The sequence below is a fragment of the Homo sapiens genome, chromosome 13 (genome assembly GCF_000001405.40).
Source record: "Homo sapiens chromosome 13, GRCh38.p14 Primary Assembly".
NCBI lineage: Eukaryota > Metazoa > Chordata > Mammalia > Primates > Hominidae > Homo > Homo sapiens.
In genome coordinates, this window is record NC_000013.11 from 20,045,650 (window position 1) to 20,061,409 (window position 15,760).

A 15,760-nucleotide genomic window follows, 5' to 3' on the forward strand; every position below is an offset into this window, starting at 1 on the left:
ATAATCTCAAAACAATAAAGGCATTTAGTGAGTACAAATTTGGAAATCCCATTTTATTTTTATATCTATTTTCATTGTTTATCTTATTGTTTGAGACAGAAATTGTTACCATGTGATGATGATTTCCCTGTTGTTTTACTGTACAAATATCTGCCTAATTGTAAAATTATGAATATAAAATTTTAATATTGTATAATAATCTTTCTTGGAGGATTTTTTTGTTGTTGTTCACAGCAGATACTGAATGTATTTCTCTGTTTGGCTTCTTTCTTTGAATGAATGATCTCCCAGCTTTAAAAAATATTACTGGGGCTGGGTGCAGTGGCTTATGCTTGTAATCCCAGCACTTTGGGAGTATGAGGTGGGAGAATCACTTGAGGCAAGAAGTTCAAGACCAGCCTGGGGAACATAGTGAGAGCCCATCTCTGCAAAAAAAAAAAAAAAAGTTAAAAATTAGCCAGGTGTGATTTCATACCCCTATAGTCCCAGATACTCAGCAGGCTGAGGCAAGAGAATTGCTTGAGCCCAGGAGTTCGAGGTGAGCTATGATTACACCACTGCACTTAAGCCTGGGTGACAGAGCAAGACCCTGTCTCAAAAAGGAAAACAAAAAATTACTGAGAGCGGTGGCTCACATCTTTAATCTCTGCCCTTTGGGAGGCTGAGGTGAGAGGGTTGTTTGAAGTTGGGAGTTCTAGTCCAGCCTGGGCAATACAGCAAGACCCCATCTCTACAAAAAATAAAAATAAAAAAAATTAGCCAGGCATGGTGGTGCATGCCTGTAGTCCTGGCTCCTTGGGAGGCTGAAGTGGAAGGATCACTTGAGTTCAGGTTTTTGAGGTGACAGTGAGCTCTGATCACACCACTGCACTCTGGCCTGGGGGACACAGTAAGACTTTGTCTCTAAAAAAAAAAATATATATATATATATATGTGTGTGTGTGTGTGTGTGTGTGTGTATATATATGTGTATATATATGTGTATATATATGTGTACATATGTATATGTGTGTATATATATGTGTGTATATATGTATATATGTGTGTGTGTGTATATATATATTAAAGAATAGGGAAGTTTGGGATTTGTTTCCCTTTTTTTGGGAAGCAAAGGTACGTTCTTTGACAAAAGACCATGTTATTGTAGATGTCGTGTGTTCCACCTTGCTATGTTTTTTAAAAGATAGTTATTTCTGTTTTCATTTATGCAGAATTCAGTGATGAGGATTTAATGAAGCAGTGCATTTCAGAATATACAAGAAATACTTTAGTCAAATACCGGGTTACAATCATCTAGTTATGTTTAATGTCAGTATTCTGTACCTTAAATACATTATATATTCATGCCTTATTTTAAACAGATCTTTGTATAATATACATAATAGGTTATATATTATACTAATCTGAGGAATAAAGGTAAGAATATTTTTGTTAGATGGTAGAAATTTATAAAGCAAGTAGCAATGCTGATGTTTCTGTACGATCAATATGCAGCACAATCTTTGAAGTGTGAAGAGTTGTCTCTCTTCATTCATCCTTGGTTTTGCTGCCTGCAGCCATTATTGTAATCAAATGGTAACTTTATTCTCTGTGCTTTCTACTTGAGTCAGACTGTATTTTCTTATACCCCCCCATGCATTCCTTCTATTCACTGTTGCCATGGTATCATCTTGAAAATGTGGTAAACTAATTATGGGGTCCCCCCCTTTTATGGTTTATCTTTTTTTATTTAAATACTCACAAGTTTATATATTAGTACATTAAAACCTATGACCCTTACAAATCATTCCGGCTTATCAGAAAAATAAGCTTCAAGCCAAAGGAAAAAAAGTGCTTCATCACAGAAACTTAAAAATCAACAGCTAGCCAATCTGGCTATTATTTCATGTTTAGCCATGAACATTTCTTAAATGGTAGTACACACACATTGTATTTTTACCTTCTCTTACCTTTGCACTTTAGATTGAGAGACAACTACCTATAGTATAAATAACTTCTACTTTTTTGTTTATTTAAATTTAGTTTTATGCTTTAAAAATTGTTTTACTTGACAAGACACTGAATGAGCTGTGTTTTCTGGTCTATATCATGGTTTGCTTCTAGATTTAAAATAGAGATTTATTAAATTCTTTCTCTTCTAAATTGGAATAAGAAATCTGTGACATCATGCAACCAAAAAATGCTGAAAATAAAATTAACGTATTTTTCTTCTCCCAGATACCTTTTTAGAAAGAAGTAGATTTTACTTTTCCTCAAGTAAATGTTTCCAGGCGTAATGAAAAACCTGATAGTTCTTTTGATCTTTGTAAGTTTAAAAGTTTTTAAGAAAAAGAATTTAGTATTGTAATACAATAATAGCTAGAAGGTGTTTGATAAATTGGTAAAGATAATATTTCAAAAGGTCCACTGTTTCCCAAGAGTATCTCTATTAAGACCTGAGCTTTTCTTAAACTGTATTACTTTTCGATTGCACAGTTTTTTAACACAGGCTTTGATTTGTTTTCCAAAGAAGTAATGAATGGTGGCAATATTAAATTCTTAATACAAATGCCCTCTAATAGTCTTAACAGTATGATTTATGGGCTTTAAATTAATAATATTAGACTTGTATAATTTTTCTTTATAAACAGCTATATCCATTTTTTTTAAAATTTTTTTGAAATTATTTTTAGGAAAATAATATTTAATATTCAAATATTGCCTTAAATATATATTTTTGGTCACCGGAGAATTCCTATGCTTTGCATAGTACCCAATCACCTTTTATCCCTGCATTCTTTTTTAAAAAAAATTTGTAGCGAATCACTCCATTGTGCTCAGAAAGCTGTATTGAGAAGTCATAAAGGATTTCTGCTTAAAATGTCTGTAAAATACCCCTATCTTTTTCGTATTCATGGTTCTCCCCTGGAAAATTAGGTTTGTTTGGTGAAATAGGGAGCAAATGGATAGGAAAGTTTAAAAAGATGTATATATCAGTCAAAAATGAAAAGTTGAAACTATCCAAGACATGAAAGGGACTGGGTCAGGATAGGCTGAATGACCTTTTGCCAGTTATTGAAAATGAAATTTCTGTTTAGCTGATAGGTTGGATTAAGGTTTTTGAGTCAGAGTTTAGTACCTGGCTGTTACTTAGATTTGTTTGAACCTGTGACTTGTTTTTTTTTTTTTTTCCCCCTCCCTCTTAGTTTGCTATCCTTGATTTCACAATGACAAGAAAACCACAAAATAGATGATGCAGTATTTTTAAAACCAGAGACTTGTGTCCCATTTATTTCATTTTTTATGATGTCTTAATAGTTCTTTTTTGCAAATGGCTAGGGAATGCGGCTTAGAGTGGAGTTGTGTTGGTGTTGGTAAGGAATGATGGTCATTAATGATCTTTTTAAATTGGCCACCATATTTTAGCTGAATTCCAAACACTTCACTAGGAGTTTGCATGAGTGGATGTCAAAGAAACAAAAGTTCACAACCTCCAAAATTTTGATTATGGCATTAAAGTTGGAATTATTAGTATTGAGTTCTCACTTACTGTTTTTTCATGCTGAAAAAATACATGCCTATTTTGTTTACATTTGTAAATTGGTATTAATCTTGCCCCTTTTTTCTTTGGGTAGAGGGAAATTATCTAAATTTGTTTTGAACCTTTAAAAGAAGAAGGGAGCTTCAAGTGTTGATTCTATAAAAACCAAGTGTCTAATTGTAGAACGATGAAGTGATTCCATTGTTCAAATTCTTGAGGTGGAATGTGTTTAATTTTATGCCCTTGATCTTCCAAATTATTGTATAAACGGAAATACTACTACTAAGAGTCAGCATAGTACATGTAATGATTTGAATTAATACAGATTTCTGTTTTAAATGTTAAATTGAGAATCTTCTTGTAGCATTTTATTTGTATTGTGTTAGGGTATTTATTCTCTGCTCATTTATAGTAACTCATTTTGTCTTTATTGCTTAGGGTACAGGCTAAAGCCTAGGTTTTGAATTGGTTGTCTGCCTTTTGAATCCTATCTCTGCATTTTTAATATTTGACCTTAGTCAAGTCATTTAATCTTTCTAGATCTTAGTTTGCAGTACCCATTTTGCAGGGCTGTTGTGAAGGTTTATAGAGAGTAGATACAATGGGTTTGGCTTTTATTTCAGGTTCTCAGTGAACAAGGTAGTCAGGCTGTAACTCTACTTTTGGTTCCTGCATTGTTCGGAATCAGTGAATAAAGTATTAAGCTTCCATTTCCTTCCTTTATGCTTTGTCTTTTCTTTGAGCATAAATTATAAAAAGGGAAAAAGAAACTGAAAGAAAGAAAAGAAACCCTGGAACAATTCTATGGTTATTTCGAAGAACAGTCTCGCTGGTGAGAATTTAACAAAGGGACTTTTTTATTATTGAGTGAAAATATGATCTTGGTTGATATTAAGTGCTATTGTTACTGAGATGATCACATAATACTATCAGCAGTATAAAATTTGGATTCACAAGTTTTTGGACAAGAGTTGTGATATTGCATCACTTAGTAGTCATAATTTATACTATAAATCTTCATTTAACATTTATTCAGCAGGAGAAATACCTGACCTGGAGAAAAAAAAAAGCCTGTGTTCTAACCTTGGGGTATGTTTGTTATGTAAGACCTGTTTGTCAACACAGTCATTTGTTAACATTCCTGACCAGGAATTTTGACATGGCATTTGTAGAATTCCTCTTGAAATACAACGTGAGAAATTTCAAAATCCACAGTGTAAAACTCTAGATTAGAGTAATAAAGGAAAAGCCATGGCCACAGTTACTACGAACTACAAAATACTTAACAGTTATTACTTTATCAGAATTTCTAAGCTGTTAAGCCAAAGGGTAATTGAAAAAAATAATAATAGTTCATTTCTAGATCAGAAACTTAAATTATGAAAAGAACTGTATTTGAAATTACATCGTTTTTCTGTATTTGAAGATACATCACTTATATTTTCGTTAAACTCATTGGTCAAGACGTTAAGAAATAGTGAAAATGGGCAAAATCTAGGGAAATTAGGATCTCTAAAAAAGAAAAATCTGTCTCAAGATTATTGATTCACCAAAATAAAGTACATTCTATGAATTTTAATTTGTTGTTCTTGTATCGTTTTTTGGTATTGCAAGTTAAGTTGTGGACCCATTGGGCTGATTGTTTTCCTAGATGTGGGTCAAATTGCTTGTCTTATAGATATTATTGGTTTTCAGAACATTTAAACATTGAGTGTTTTAGAACATAAAGTTGTTATTAAAATTAAATAAATGTATTTATTAAAGCTTTTCAAATTTATATTAAACTGTTGAAAAACTCAAAATTTTCAAGTTAACATCCATAAATTTCCCATCATAAGAGCTTGCTTCAAAATTACCTTTGTCTTGTACAACTAACCTGGGAAATCCGTTCATTACTCATAAATGTTCAATGTAATGATTGTAGGAGACAATTCTACCAGTACATTATATGGCCCTCAAAATTATTTAAAAACATTAAAATACATTCATTTGGTCTACCAATATATATTTAGTTATCCTACTTTTGTAATGCTGGTCTTTGACTTCTGGTAAGTATAGGATGGACTTTGTCAACTGTGAAATTGTATTTTTTTTTTTTTTTTTCATTTATTGTAGATTTTACTGTTTACAAATGATTTATATTATAGTTCTACTTTTTCTGTATCAGTCACGGTTTTATCACATTTGGCAATAATCACTGATAAACTTCTGGAAATCTTCAAAAATAATTTGCAATATCTGAAACCTTCCTTTTTAAATTAAGGCTGCAAGGTGTGACTGTTGTAAATCTCAAGGAACTCTTAAAGAGCGAGTTCAGTGGCGTGGGGAAATGAAACATTTCTGTGATCAACATTGCTTACTGCGTTTCTACTGTCAACAAAATGAGCCCAACATGACAACTCAGAAAGGACCTGAAAACTTACATTATGGTATGTAATGATTTAGGTGATAACTTGAAAACCCTGTACATCAGTCTTTACGTAGTTTTGAATCCAAAGCACTGATAATGAATAGTTGATTTTGGAGATAGCTTAACAGCAACTTAAATTCCGTAGATTCTCTGGGTCGAAGTACCCTTGTATGTTGTTTTTATAAATGTATTGCTTTTAGTTTTATTGTCTTTTTGAAATTTCATGCTAATTGAGAAAAGGCATAGTTGAGAGTGAGGAGAAGCTAAACAGTGCTATAACACAAATTTTAAAAAGAATAGACATCTAACTATCGTGTCATCTGCAATTTTAAATGAAAATTATTTTTAGCAAATCGTATTGCTAGGGAGTAGGTTGGGAGGAAGAACAAAAACCGTTTAGAAGCTGTAATTTTTTTAAAAAAAATATCATTTAAGATATAAATCTAAGAATATATAATAGTATTTCCCCGAAAGCAGTGTATACTTTCAGAGGGGACGAAAGGAGAAAAGGATTAATTTCATTTATTTACCTGTATATTTCTATACTTTATACAAATTTGAAATTCTTTCCTTAAAATAGTCTAAAATATTTTCTTTAGTCACATTTTAAATTGGTGAAATTTAATGAGAAATAGGGATTTAGAACATTCTGAAGAAAGAGTATTTGTCTTATTTTAAATTTTTTTGTGTTTTTTAGATCAGGGTTGTCAGACATCTCGAACCAAAATGACAGTAAGTATTGGTGAAATGGAGTGCTGAATTGTGATTTTTGTAATATGGGGTAAAAAATAATTAGGCCAATTTAATGTGATCATAATAGTAATTTTTTTGGTTTTTTTTTTGCTTTACTGAGACGGTGGAGTATTCAGCTGAATTATATTAATACCAGAGACTGTCATGCATGCTAAAGAATATAAAGGAGAATTAATTATAGCCTCTACTCACAATGGGGCGATAGACATAAGTGATATTTGAGTTGACGGATGTTTCCATAATAGATGCATCTTTAAGACAATGGCAATAGTATGTTTGAAATTAAGACAATGGCAATAGTATGTTTGAAATTAAGACAATGGCAATAGTATGTTTGAAATGACTGTATTTGTTCTGAAAGATACGAATAAGCTGACTGTAAACAGTTGAGTAGAAGATTGCCAGATAGGCATGAAAAGTAGGAGAATAATAAAGTACTAAGCACGTGTATTTGGCAGAACTACTTACTAGAGCCAAGCCTGAAGGGGATCTTTGGTGGAATAATGGAAAATGAGGCTGAAGGAATAGGCTGAGGCAGATTATTAATGGCTTTATGCATTTATTTTTCAAGTAGAGATCTGAAGATATATGTTGGTGGCTAGAATTTTTTGAGTTTAACAATTTGGGAAATACACAGTGTGTCCTGGATTTTTTTTCCTCCAATTTATTTTTCTTTTGGTGTAATACATCAAATTCTACACTTTTGTTAGCATTTTAAGAGTTTTATAGGTTGAAAGTGGCCATTGATGTTACTAATGACTACTAAAGATAAGAGGCAGTGCTTTTGCCACTGCCTGGCCTTGGCATGCTGCATCTTACAGCAGTCACCAGTGGTGGATCCTGCTATTTCTGGCATCCTTATCCGAGGGAAGCTCTTTGGGAGTCATTTATTGGCAATAAAGTCTCTGGGCTAGTTCTTGTTGTGTTACAAAAGAACAGATTAGTGGTTCCTAGCTCTGACTACTCATTAGAATCACCTGGCAACTTTTCAAAACCTTCCAGTGCCTGGGTTTCAACCCAAAAATTCTGTATTTTTAAAAAGTTCTGGCTGGGCACGATGGCTCACGCCTGTAATCCCTGCAACAAGGCAAGTGGATCACCTGAGGTCAGAAGTTCGAGACCAGCCTGGCCAACATGGTGAATCTCCATCTCTACTAAAAATACAAAAAATTAGCCGGGCGTGGTGGTGGGCACCTGTAATCCCAGCTACTCAGGAGGCTGAGGCAGGAGAATCGCTTGAACCCGGGAGGCAGAGGTTGCAGTGAGCCAAGATCGCGCCACTGCACTCCAGCCTGGGTAATAAGAGTGAAACTCCATCTCCATTAACAACAACAAAAAAAAGTTATTTAGGATGCTGATATGTAACCAGACATGAGAATCACTGATATAGATGAAAATTGGTATTTTTACATTTATTCTATTCAGTGTTTGTTTTTGATGTTAATAGTTGGACAGAATCCTAGAAAAGTAAGAATACTTTTTCCATACCCCCCCTTATGGAAATAACATTTTAAAATCAGATAATTTGGAAGTACGTAAAGTATTCACTTGAATTATCTGATTTTAATACCAGACACTTTTATCCATGCTGAGGGTATGAAAGATGACTACTCCCTATTTTATATTTATAAGGCAACTATTAGCACGATATTAAATATTTTTCTCCTCCTACAGCACTTGAACCAAACTATATGACAGAGGGATAGAGGGAGCATTATTAATAGGGAAGGATAAGTAAGGCTGCCATTGCAGCTGTTGCCTTTTGTCATATAAAGTCCTCTCCCATCTTTTCTTTGTAAGCTTTTGGAATCTTCTAATTCTCCACCCATAAACTTCAAAGGATAGGAGCTTAGCTGTATAATTTTGGGCAAGTTACTTCACTGTTCTTTTTGTGAGTTTCTTTATTTGTAAAATCAAGATGAATATAGTACCTACCTCATGTTGAATACTAAACGTGGTGTAACTGTTTTGTTCCAGACTTCATAGAGGCAGTATGTATAGTAAAGAACATAAACTTTGACATCAGATGAGTCTTACTTGAATCCTGATTTCAGAACTTTTAGCTCAGTGCCTGTTGCCAGGTTATATCACTTCTGAGCCTCAGTTTCCTCCTATGTAAAATGGGAGTGATAAAAAGTCCTACCTTTTGTGGTGGTAGGAGTATGCAATAAGATTTGGTGCTTTTCATAGTCCCTGGCATCTAGCAAATACTCAACAGATGGTGGCTTTTGTCATTATAATTTTTATTCTTTTGGGTCCTACTTCAGCATACACAGATAACTGTGTATCCTGCCTATTGACTAAAAAAGTAAAAAACATTCTAAAAAACAAGTTTGGTTCAAGTGTAGATTTTCACCAAGTGGCATAGTTAATTGACATAAAGTAGTATTTGCAGAATGGCAAGAAGTGCAACATTGAGCAATCCCAGGACATCTATGACTTTAGATCCTCTCTTCTGGGATTCCAGTTAAGAGCGAACTTTCCTAATGCCTGGTATGTAACAGATACTGTTTGCTAAGTTATTCTTTCCATTATGCAATGGTGGAAATTGAGGCATAAGAGATTGAGTGACTTGCCTGACGTCACACAGCAGTGGCTTTAAGTATAGTTGACCCTTGAACAACATGGATTTGAACTGCATTTGTCTACTTCCACATGGGGTTGTTTTTTTTTTTTTTTTCCCCCAACCAAACTTGGATGGAAAATAAAGGATTTGCAGGATGCGAGTTTGAGAGCATACTTTTCATATGGGTGAGTTCTATAAAGGCTGACTGTGGGAGTTGTGTATGCAGATTCTGGTATGAGGAGTAGGGGTAGGGGCATTGGTGGATGGTGGTGGTCCTAGAACCAGTCCTCCACATATACTGAGAGATAATTGTGCAGTCAGTCCTCATTCATGGATTTCAAATTTGCCTACCCACCAAAATTTATTTGTAACCCCTTAATCGATACTTAAGTGCTTTCACAGGCATTTGTAGATGTGCAGAGTGGTGAAAAATTTGAGTTATCCAATGTGCATGTTCCCAGTTGAAGTAGAACAAAGCAATGCTGTGCCTTTTTGTTTCAGCTCTCATACTGTAAACAAGTGTCCTTTTCTTAGTCTAATTAGTGTCAGGGTGTTTTGTTTTTGTTGTTTGCATTTTTGTGTTTTCTGTTGATGATTTTTGTTGTTTAGAAGGGCCAGCAAGTGTGGTGTTGAAGTGCTGTCTAGTGTCACTAAGAGCAAGAAAGCTGTGATGTACCTTATGGAGAAAATACTGTTAGAAAAGTTTCATTTAGGCATGAAGTTATAATGTTCTTGGTGTAAGTTCAGTATTAATGAATCAACATTATCGTACATCTAGAAAAAGGAAGAGGAAATTTGCCAGTCTACCCGAGTGCTATAGTAACATCTCTAGTTTGTGGTACAGCTAAGGAAAAGATACAATAATGACTAAACTTACGGATTCATGAGATTATGACCAATTTTTTTTTTTTAAAGCATACTGAACAGCTTTCAGCTCACAACAGGTTAATCGGGGTTAGGAAAATGTTAAAACGTTCTTGGCTATGTGAGAGCTAGCTGGCTTACACATTTTAAGGCAATGTGGTATGAAAAGTGTTGAAGTTGAGGCGAGTTTTGCAGATCAAGATACTATGGAAGAATACCTACGAAGTGTTATACAGGGAAAAGGTTATATGGAAGAGCTACTTTTCAACACTAATGGGACTGGCTTATTTTTACGAGGTCATTGGCATATGAACCTTTGAAATGCCCTTGGCCTTAATTCATCCAAAGAGTGTGCAAGCTTGTTATTGTATACCAATGCCAAGGGCACCTTTAAATGCAAACTCTTGATACACAGAGCTCAAAATTCTTGAGCACTTGCAGGGGAAAACCAGAAGTGTGTATCATTTCCATTGGAGGTGGGACAAAAAAGCATGGATGATACCCAAAATATTCTGGGATTGGTTTCATTGCTTCATCCTAGAAGTTGAACACTATCTTCAGGGTGAAAACTTAGCCTTCAAAGTTTTATTACTGGATAATGCCCCAGTTCATTGCTGTGAAGAACTTGGAAGTGCCCATCCCAATGTAGGAGTTCTTTTCATGCCCCCAAATACTAGTCTCTTCTCCAGCCCCTCAGACAGGGCATTTTAAAGGCTTTCACGGTGTACCACATGAGGGAGCTTTGTAACAAGGCTTGTGAGGCTCTCAATGCCGACAAGGAAACCACCATGGATAGACTCCTGGAAGCAGTCACAATATGCATCTTCTTGATTATGGCGACACAACCTGGGGGCAGTATAAAGCAGTCCATTGATAACTGTTGGGAAGATGTTTGATCAGACTGAAAAGGTGTTAAAGAAATTATAAAGAACAATGTTAAAAACATAATGTGCATCACACAGCAAATGAGCATAGAAGGCTTTGGCAACATGAAGGAAGGTGATATCAGAATGGAATTCTGTCTTGGGAAAAATTGTCAATAAAACAGAAAAATGTGGCCCTATGCTTGAGCACAGTCTCAATTTTAAGCGCTACTGAGAACATGCCTTGAGATGCTTAAAGGATCTGAGGTTAAAAGCTAAGCTGCCAAGGCTGACACAATTTTTGGAGCCACTTTGGGTAAGAAAATCACTGACACTGTCAACAAGGCACAAGAGCCAGTTCTACAACCTCGGTTTTCATGGGGCACATCAAAGGTTGAGAGGTCAGACCACACAGCGCAGTACCTCATCACACATTCTGCAGCTCCATCCACAGTGAAATTTTATTAATGTTTGTTTTGTTTTTGCTTTGTTCTTGAGACAAAGTCTAACTCTGTCATCCAGGCTAGAGTGCAGTGGCAATATCTTGGCTCATTGCAACCTCTGCCTCCCAGGGTCAAGAGATTCTCCTGCCTCAGCCTCTAGAGTAGCTGGGACTAGAGGTGGGCGCCACCATGTCCGGCTAATTATTTATTTATTTTTATTTTTATTTATTTATTTATTTTTGTATTTTTAGTAGAGATGGAGTTTCACCATGTTGGCCAGGCTGGTTTCGAACTCCTGACCTTAGGTGATCCGCCTGTCCCGGCCTCCCAGAGTTCTGGGATTACACATGTGAGCCAATGCCCCCGGCCAGCTTTTGTAAAACTTTGCTTAATTTTTGTTTAATATTTTTTAGGATTTTATATGCATAAGGGTACAGTAAACAGTATGTGTTCACAGTGTTGTTTACTCTATGTGATTACTGTACAATATGTGTGGAGTACTGTACAGTGTGCATGTGCTGTGTGAGTGCTGTACAGTATGCGTGTGCATTATATCTGTACTGTGAGTTGATTTCAGTACAGTAGTGTATTACACAAATATTCTCTAATGAAATATTGTTTTATTATTAAAAAATACTGTATGAAGTATCGTTAACAAAATTATGTATTTATCAGTTGATGAAAACATTGCGACCAGAGGCTCACAGGAACCTAATCTTGTATTTCCCATTGCAGCAGTGGTTCAGTAGTCATTGTTTGGGGCAACCGTATAGAACATAACTATTCCGAATTATGTACCTACATTTTCTCCGTATCAATAGATGATGTGGAGAGTACCTTATTTTTACTCCCTTACGCTCATATCTTCCACTTATTTCAGATTTTATTTATGTGGGGTTTTGTCTTGTTTGCAATGCAAATAATGCTGCAGTGAACTTAGTGTGAAATATCTGAGAGACTGCATCTGTAGAATAGGTTTCAGAAATTGCCATTGCTGGGCCGCAGGAAATACACAACTTAAAGTTTGAGGATATCTTTGGTAATTGTTTTCATTTTTCTTTTCAAATTTATAATCATATTTAAAGCCATTTATCCAGCAGAGGGAGTGAGAGTATCAGAGAGCCATAATAACTGTTGGATCTTCTTTTTCTGAAATAAATTTAAAAGTACCCAAGTATTTTCATAGTTCAGGTTTGCAACCTTGATTTTGTACTTAAAAGTTAGATTGTCTTTTTATATTTTTCTAAAATCATTCTGATGGTATCCTTTGAAGGTGATATAAATCTATAGAATGAATAATTGCTACCACTTTGCTAGTAGTTAGGATAGATTCATATTGATCCTTATAGATTAAGAGTATGGTGAACATAGGGATAATAGCATAATTTGGTTATCCTCTTCTGCTTTTGTGTGTTCCCTTCTTAGGACTGAAAATCCTTCATTGACACTAGGAAGTATTGAAAATTAGACATAAAAATAAAAATGTTTCTCTTTGCTTCTCCATAGGGTTCAGCACCACCCCCTTCTCCAACACCTAACAAAGAGATGAAGAACAAAGCAGTTCTTTGCAAACCTTTAACAATGACAAAAGCTACTTACTGTAAACCTCACATGCAGACCAAATCTTGTCAGACAGGTAACTTAGGACAATGTGACTTACATACTTCCCCATACCTTCATCTCACCTAATGAAATACATGCTTTTCTTGAATGACACCTCCAGGATAGATTCATTTGGTCAATTTGTCATTTTCTGTTGATTTTGCTTACGTAATTTTAGATATTACCTGGAGAATACAGCATCTCATTTTAAATCATTATGATCAATCTCTGATAAAGGCCTAGAATACAAATTATGTCAAAAGTGAAAAAATACTATCTCGAAAATTTCCTTGGGGATAAGACTACTAAAATTATAATGCTTCCTCTGAGAAAATCATCTCTTTGCATGTGGTTTGTAATGGTAACAGTTCTGTTTCCTTCCTGTCAGAATGAGGTGAAATTGTTCAAATATGTATTTTTTATGAAATTTACAGTGTTACCTGTGTATTCTAATTATTTGATTAAATAAGCCTTTGGGGAGGTTGTTGAGGAGAGTATGGTAGGGTATCTGGAACTACATAGTGTTTTTAAAGGATGTTTTCTTTCTTAAAAAAAAAAAATCCCTAAATTCTATTTGTATTTTCTGTAAGTTAGAACAGCTGCTGCTTTCTTTTTTGTCCTGTTCTTTTTAAGTTACCTAACTTAAAAAAACTGGGAATTAAAAAAAAAAAGGTACTGAGGTAGTTAAATTTTTCTTTATCAAATTATTTTAACATTGAGCACCTGTATATAAGTGTTAGTTAACATTGCTCCTTAAATATGTTTTGTGTTTTTAGATGATACTTGGAGGACAGAATATGTTCCAGTGCCTATCCCTGTGCCTGTGTATATCCCAGTTCCTATGCACATGTACAGTCAGAATATTCCTGTTCCTACTACAGTTCCTGTTCCTGTAAGTCACATTTTAAGTTCTTTCTCATTTTGAGATTTAGCAGACACAGTTGGGAAAACAGTGTACAGTTGACCCTTGAACAACAAGAGTTTGAACTCCATGCATCCACATATGTGGATGATTTTTTTTTTTCCCCAATAAATATGGGCGGCCCTCTATATTGGCAGGTTCCACATCCGTGACCAAACACAGACTGAAAATACAGTATTCTGCCTGTAATCCCAGCACTTTGGGAGGCTAAGGTAGGCGTATCTTCAGCCCAGGAGTTCAAGACCAGCCTGGGCAACATGGTGACACCCTGTCTCTACTAAAAATGTAAAAATTAGCCAGGCACAGTGGCATATACCTGTAATCCCAGCTACTTGGGAGGCTGAGGTAGGAAGATTGCTTGAGCTTGGGAGATGGAGGCTGCAATGAGCCGTGATTGCACCACTGCACTGCAGCCTGGTCTACAAAGCAAGTCCTTATCTCAAAAAAAATGAAAATAAAAAATTATTTGAGGATGTGAAATCTGTGTAGAAGGCTGACTGTAGGGGTGTGGAACTTGAGTATGCATAGACTTTGGTATCCATCCACAGGTGGTCCTGGAACCAATCCCCTAGAATACTGAGGATAACTCTAGTTGCAGTTACTAGTTTAATGAAGCTAATAAAACCATCTTTACCTTTCTTCGACAGTTAACTTAGATTTGGTTGAATCTCTGTTGTCATGATTGATTGCTTTGTGTATAGTATGTATATGTTCATCCTCGAGAGTGACATTTCGCGGATGTCTGTGCCTGCTCTGTGCATATTAAGTTTATATTTGGGTTCATTTTCAAAAGGAATATTTGTGGGCCATGTGCAGTGGCTCACGCCTGTAATCCCAGCACTTTAGGAGGCTGACATGGGCAGATCACCTGAGGTCAGGAGTTCAAGACCAGACTGGCCAACATGGTGAAACCCCCTCTCTACTAAAAATACAAAATTAGTTGGGCATGGTGGCACATGCCTGTAATCCCAGCTGCTGGGGAGGCTGAGGCAGGAGAATCGCTTGAACCCGGGAGGCGGAGGTTGCAGTGAACTGAGATAGCGCCATTGCACTCCAGCCTGGGCAACAAGAGTGAAATTCCATCTCAAAAAAAAAAAAGAAAAATATTTGTGAAGCCATAAGGTTTAGAACTGAAACATAGAATTTCATATAAAATATTATTTTATCCCAAATCACTTGCAGTACTTAGAAGAACACTGTGTCAGGGCTTGGCTATTATAGTCCCCTGGGGGACAGAAATACTTCAAAAATTCTTTTTCTTTAATTTGAATTCCAAAAAGTAGATGCTTGTATTCTAGGCTTTCTTATCACAGTTAACATCTTAGTTTTGTATGTGTTCTTTTCAAAGCTTTTATCCAGTGTGATATTACAAAGTAGATCATGTGTCAGAGTAATTTTTAATTTGGAAAAATACCTTTTAATGTTTAGTAAACCTAACTCAAAATGATTTGGTTAATTAGGTGCCAGTTCCTGTTTTTCTGCCTGCTCCATTGGACAGCAGTGAGAAGATTCCTGCAGCAATTGAGGAGCTAAAAAGCAAGGTTTCTTCAGATGCTCTTGATACAGAGTTGCTTACAATGACGGATATGATGAGTGAAGACGAGGGGAAAACAGAGACAACCAACATCAACAGTGAGCTACACTAAATTATACCTTGCGAATAAGTGTTAACATTGGTTATTTATAAGTATTGTTACAGTACTTTCCAGGGCATATCATTTTGTTTCAACTTATGTGGGGGTGAGGAAAGCATTGTAACAAAAATGTTTTTTATATTAAGAGATCTACACTGTATTTAGCCAGGTGCCCTCAGACAG

General features: G+C 35.4%; 1 protein-coding gene across 36 annotated transcripts in view; it reads left to right on the forward strand.

The window, feature by feature from the left end:
• ZMYM2 (zinc finger MYM-type containing 2) overlaps positions 1 to 15,760 on the forward strand; it is a 225,276-nt gene that overhangs the window by 181,810 nt on the left and 27,706 nt on the right. For all 36 annotated transcript variants that reach the window (NR_148365.2, XM_047430584.1, XM_047430585.1 and 33 more), the window contains 5 exons: positions 5,784 to 5,949; positions 6,628 to 6,662; positions 12,926 to 13,055; positions 13,798 to 13,913; positions 15,404 to 15,575. Coding sequence is in view for 35 of the 36 variants with exons in the window: in XM_047430584.1 (XP_047286540.1) it covers positions 5,784 to 5,949; positions 6,628 to 6,662; positions 12,926 to 13,055; positions 13,798 to 13,913; positions 15,404 to 15,575 (619 nt within the window). In the remaining variant the exon portion in view is untranslated. The remainder of the gene's footprint in view (positions 1 to 5,783; positions 5,950 to 6,627; positions 6,663 to 12,925; positions 13,056 to 13,797; positions 13,914 to 15,403; positions 15,576 to 15,760) is intronic.